The 5332-nt window shown below is 33.9% G+C and overlaps 1 pseudogene; it reads left to right on the top strand.

Annotated features, from left to right (window-relative positions):
* Positions 3305-3691, top strand: BTG4P1 (BTG anti-proliferation factor 4 pseudogene 1; annotated as a pseudogene).
* Positions 3692-5332: the final 1641 nt, after the last annotated feature.

Raw genomic sequence — 5332 nt, 5'->3', positions numbered from 1 at the left:
CATCTAGAGTTTTCCTCCATCACATCCTCAACATGAGCTGCTGATTTTTTATTTCTTTTTTTTTTTTCTATCTTAGAATGTTCAACCCGAAGTCTTTCCTTTCTCAAAGAGTTTTCTGACCCATTGTCAGATTAGAACTGATCTTTCCTGGTCTCTGTAGAATCTCTTCTTCTCCTATCTTTATGACTCATGTTTGTTTTTGTCACTGCATTTTGTCTTCCTTGTATGTGGTTATTAGAAAATTTATTTAGATCCTAATTTGTGAGATTTCTAAAGACATGAATGGTGTCTTCCTTGAAAGAACAGTAACACTATGGAGAACGAGAATGTCATAACGATAGTAAAAACAGCTAAATTTAACTTTGTATTTATGCCCCAAGTTATTTTATTTATTCTTATATATGTATATTGCCCAATAAAAGCACTATAAAGCAGTTTCTATCAGCCCAAAGTGACTAAATGCCTTGTCCAAGCTCAATCAGGCTGCCAGTTACATCATCAGGATTCTAACCCTGTTGCCAGAGACGATAATTTTATTATTTTACAACACAATTTTGGCAAAGCAGAGGTCCAGAATTCAACAAATGCTGATTTATATCCCTAGCTTTTTCTCTCATTCCATGGAGCAAATTTTGGGAAACAGATGTAAATTTTCAGGGATTTCCTTGTTATACTTGCTAACATGGTAACACATGATAGAGATTCCATAACTATTCAATAAGCTAACACACTTACATTTTGTAGGTTAGAGTATCAATGTACTAAATTGTAGCCCCATTCTTATTTCTAATTTCTGTGTTCTCCATAGAGATTTTTACAATATTATTTTCAAAGGGAGTATTCCCTTTGAAAGTAATTTGTATACAATGAAAACCAAAGCACCTCTATTTCACCTCCTTTCTGGACAGATTTACCTTAGAGCTGTAGAAATATGTCACAATGTCTCCCTGACTCACAGTGACTTTCCTTGACCAAACTTTAACATGTTTATGGATCCCATCAGGGCCTGCTCCGGGAATCCAGGTTGTAAGTTTAGCATGCTTTGACTTTTACATCAGTCACTTAGAATTGATCTTTTTCATTTGCATCAGTAGAAAAAAATCTCTTCTGCATCTCTTCAAAGAAAGAAATAAAGGATTCTTAAGACTGGTTTCCATCACGGTAGTTTAGGAAAACAGTTTTAACAACAATAATGGGTGACTTTTCTCTGAGAAGTCACAAGCAATTGTGTTGTCAGTATAAGAACTGAAAGCATTTGGTTTATACATGTGGCATGACTGTCTTAATCTTTTAGTTCATCAAATTCCAAGGAGTGAGCAAAAGGCAAAGATTGTAACTTTAGCTGCCAAAGAGAGTGTGAATCATTTCTCTCAAGATTTTAAATATCCTTTTTTTAGCTTGCAGGCATAAAGCAACCAACCTGAATGAAAACAGATTTGGGCTGTAATAAGAAGAAGGAATTTAACCAGCATATGCTAAAGTGTCTTACTGAAACAGAACAAAAGTTTTATGCATAAATGTTACTTTAAAAAATACGCAGCCAGTTGTTCACACTGTGTTCATTGGACCTTATTATACCTTTAAAGGTCATGAGAACTCTGCTAAGACAAGGAACTAGAAATTACAAGAACAATAATCAGTCATATCTTTTGATACCTATAGATGAATGCAACTTTTTAGTACCTTGCTCTAATTTAAGGCTTGCGTAGATATATATTTTTTATACTTACATTGTTTTATATTTTCATTGTATTGATAATATACTAAAATAGTATATCATATTAAAATGTTATTTAAATTGACAATTAGTAATAATAAATCTATGATATGATGGAATAAATCAGGTAGGCCAGAATGGACTCATATACAGGGATTTAGTTTACATAAGATGATATCTCAAGTTAGTATGGAAAGGTTTGATTATGCAAAGAATTCTATAGAAACAATTGGAGATCTATGTATCTATCATCTATCGCTCTATCTATGTATCATCTATCTATCTATCTATCATATACATTTGTGTCAAGATTTCACTCATTATGACAAAATAAATCCCAATTGGATACAAGCTCTAAGCATAAAAATAAACAGTAAAGGTGCTAAATAAAATACTAATGTTTTTCATTACTGATTGGAAAATTACATTTTAACCATTACCCAAAGCTTAGAAATATAAGAGAAAGTTTGACAATTAGGCTATATAGTTGGAAGATTAATACATGGACAGCATATTATAAGTCAAGTTAAAAGGAAGAGATGTGAACCTGGGCAGAATATTTGTAACACAGATGAGGAATAGATGTGAGTCTTAAATATATTAAAAGTTGATACAAACCAGCATAAAAGAACAGCTGCAGAAAGACAAGAGAGTTTTCCTTACAGTATCTGCATAAATGATTTCTTATCAAAGAGGTCTTCTCTGACAATCTTGCCAAAAGAATCCCAGCATTTTGACAATCTCTCTAATCAGGCTTTTCATTATCATTTACTGTCTGTAATTCCACTTACACTACCGGAGACTTTATATTCATTTCATTCTTATATTCTAGTCCATGACTCATTGCCTGGCTTATAGTGTTTATAAAAATTTAGAATAAATGAATAAATGAATCTAGAATAAAATGTAAAGAGACATGATAAATAACAGAAATATTACCTTGAAAAGAATGAATATTCTTAGCAGTAAAGCAAGTATAAAGATGTGTGTGTGTGTGTGCATGTGTACATCTGTTTGTATAATCGAAAATAGTCTGTATCATAACCCTAGCACAAGTGTTATCAAGAACTCCTCAGTGGACAGATGATGTTAGGTAATATGAATTGGTGGAGAACTGGATAAGTTTGATTTCATGTTTCCACATGATTGCTCTGCTGCCTACAATCAAGAAAAGAGAAATATCTGTTAGTATTTAACAAGATTGCAAGCAACAAATAAAGGAATAATTGCACGATTTTAGAATATATTTATTTGAAGTGGTTTACCATTGACCCCACCATAGGAAAAAAAGCTGGAAATGGGGTGGCAATGTCAGAGATCATGAAAATTTGGAAAACACACAAGGACAATGAACAGGAAATTTATTATAGTGGAAAGGGAAATGTTTCAAAGACTTGAAATCTTCTTTAAGACTTTTATATTGTACATCGTCATTTACTCCCAGCTTCTCTTGCTGGCTTCTCTTCCTGTACCTTCTTATGGGATTGATGCTCTTCCATGTTTTTATTCATGCAATACTTCCTGGATGACCACCTTCAATGTCATGTCTATCCTATATGTTAATGATTTCCAAATATCTATATTCAGTTCTAAAGTCAGCAATTCAAATGGTATTTATCAGGTTGAATACTTGAAACAGCCCTTTCAATCTTGGTTCCAAATTCCCCACAAAAAGAATGTGGCAGATGGCCGTGTCAGCCCACTGGGAAACACCACATCTCACAGAAGCACCCTTGGTATTACAGGCCTGCTATGCACCAGGTGGAGAAGTACCAGTGGGTCAACACAAATCGATGACACAGTGACTGGGCATGCGATGGGAGAGAACTCAGAGGAAAAACTTTATTCTCTCTACAATGAAAATGTAAGGTTGAGAGGCCCATGGAACAAAAAAACAAATACCACATTAGTCCAGGGTGCAGAATGGTGACTCTTCTCATTCATATCATTACTCTGTTCATAGCTGTACTTTTAATTATTTAATTTTATATGAAGTTGTATGCAATATTAGTGAATATACCCAGTAAAGTAATAGAATGAAGATATTGATCTGAAATCCAGACTTAACAAGCTAACTGCCATCCAAATTTTATCAGTTAGGGTTCAGTTATAAGAAATGGAAACCGTTATAGCTACTTTTAGCAGAAAGGGATTCAATGCAGTGGTCAGATTATTTAAAATTTTCAGAAGGACTGGAGGGGCAGCTCAAGGCTGACACCTTAGATGCCACAACGGGAATTGTTAAGAACACTCAGCTGCAGCTGTGATCCACATATGCGGATGCTGCTCCCACACACACCCCAAGGTCATGACAGGAGAAAGCTAGGGACTGGGTTGCTGAAGAAAAACCCTTTGTCCTTACAACTATGCTTAATGTGGGGGCGAGGGGGAGGGGGAACCCAATCAATTAGGAGACAGTTTGCCCTTCAAACCCACTTCCAAATTTCAAATGTTGTGCAACTGCATCTAGTTAGAGATGTCAACTTTGTATCAAAATGGTAGAAATTAAGGACTTTTAAAGAGCTGTTTTAGTTTTTCCATCCTCTGAAGGAAGATTGATAACTATAAGGAGGAAAGGCAGGATGCTGAATGGGAATCATTCAGAATTACTACAGGAACATACCAGCCTGGAGGGTCAATAGGTAATTCAACCAACGTCAACCCAGAAAACAGAAATTTTTGTCTATTAAACTGCTTCTCGTCTTAAATGCCTCATCCTGGTTAATTACACTATCCAGGAATTTTCCTTTATTCCTATTTTCCCCTATTATAAATTCTTATAGATAAACACATTTTATTTATTCTAACATTTAAAATACCCTAACATTCCTGTAGATCAATCAGTTTTATTGATTGTAACATTTAAATATCTCTGAGTCACTTTTTATGTCTTTATATGAAATCTCATCAGGGGCAGATTTTCAGCTAATTTATGATTACTACTTTTGTCCATGATTGAAAAGATAATAAAATTTTTCTGATTCAAGTGACCCGAACCAAAATACTTTTTTCAACATTTTTTGCATTTGGTGAACAATTTTAATGTTATTATATTCTTATTTCTTCCAAAGATTTAATTAAAAAATTATTTTATCTTTAAAAACAGCAGAACTTAATAAGCTTGTAATATAGATTGCTTCAATTATTGTGATTTGTCCTATAAATATTTCTTGATCAATCAAAGGCAGAGAATAATTCAGAATGCTGGAAATGTAAAGACTTTTGTTTATGTTATTTTAGGTTGAGGTTGAGAATTTTTGTGTTCGAGTTTTATTCCATTTTATATATTTAACTTGTATTTTTAAAAGGCCTAGTGATAAAACTTGCATGTTCCACATTGTGGTAAGATAAACAAATACCTTGAAAGAGTTCCACATCTCCACCAGTGAAACCTGTGAGTATGTGACCTTATGTCCAAAAGGGATTTTGTAGATGTGATTAAGGATTAAGTATTTTCAGGTAAGGAAATTATTCTGCATTATCCAGATGAGGCTAATGCAATTACAAGGTCCTTGTAAGAGAGAGGTAGTAGAGTTAGATTCAGAGATTACAAAGAGATGTGATGATGAAGGCAGAAGCTGAAGTAATACACTTTGCAGATGGAGAAAGGGACCA

Source organism: Homo sapiens, chromosome 5 (assembly GCF_000001405.40).
Source record: "Homo sapiens chromosome 5, GRCh38.p14 Primary Assembly".
NCBI classification, from domain to species: domain Eukaryota; kingdom Metazoa; phylum Chordata; class Mammalia; order Primates; family Hominidae; genus Homo; species Homo sapiens.
Note: the sequence above shows the minus strand (reverse complement) of the source record. Positions and strands in the feature narration are given on the sequence as shown.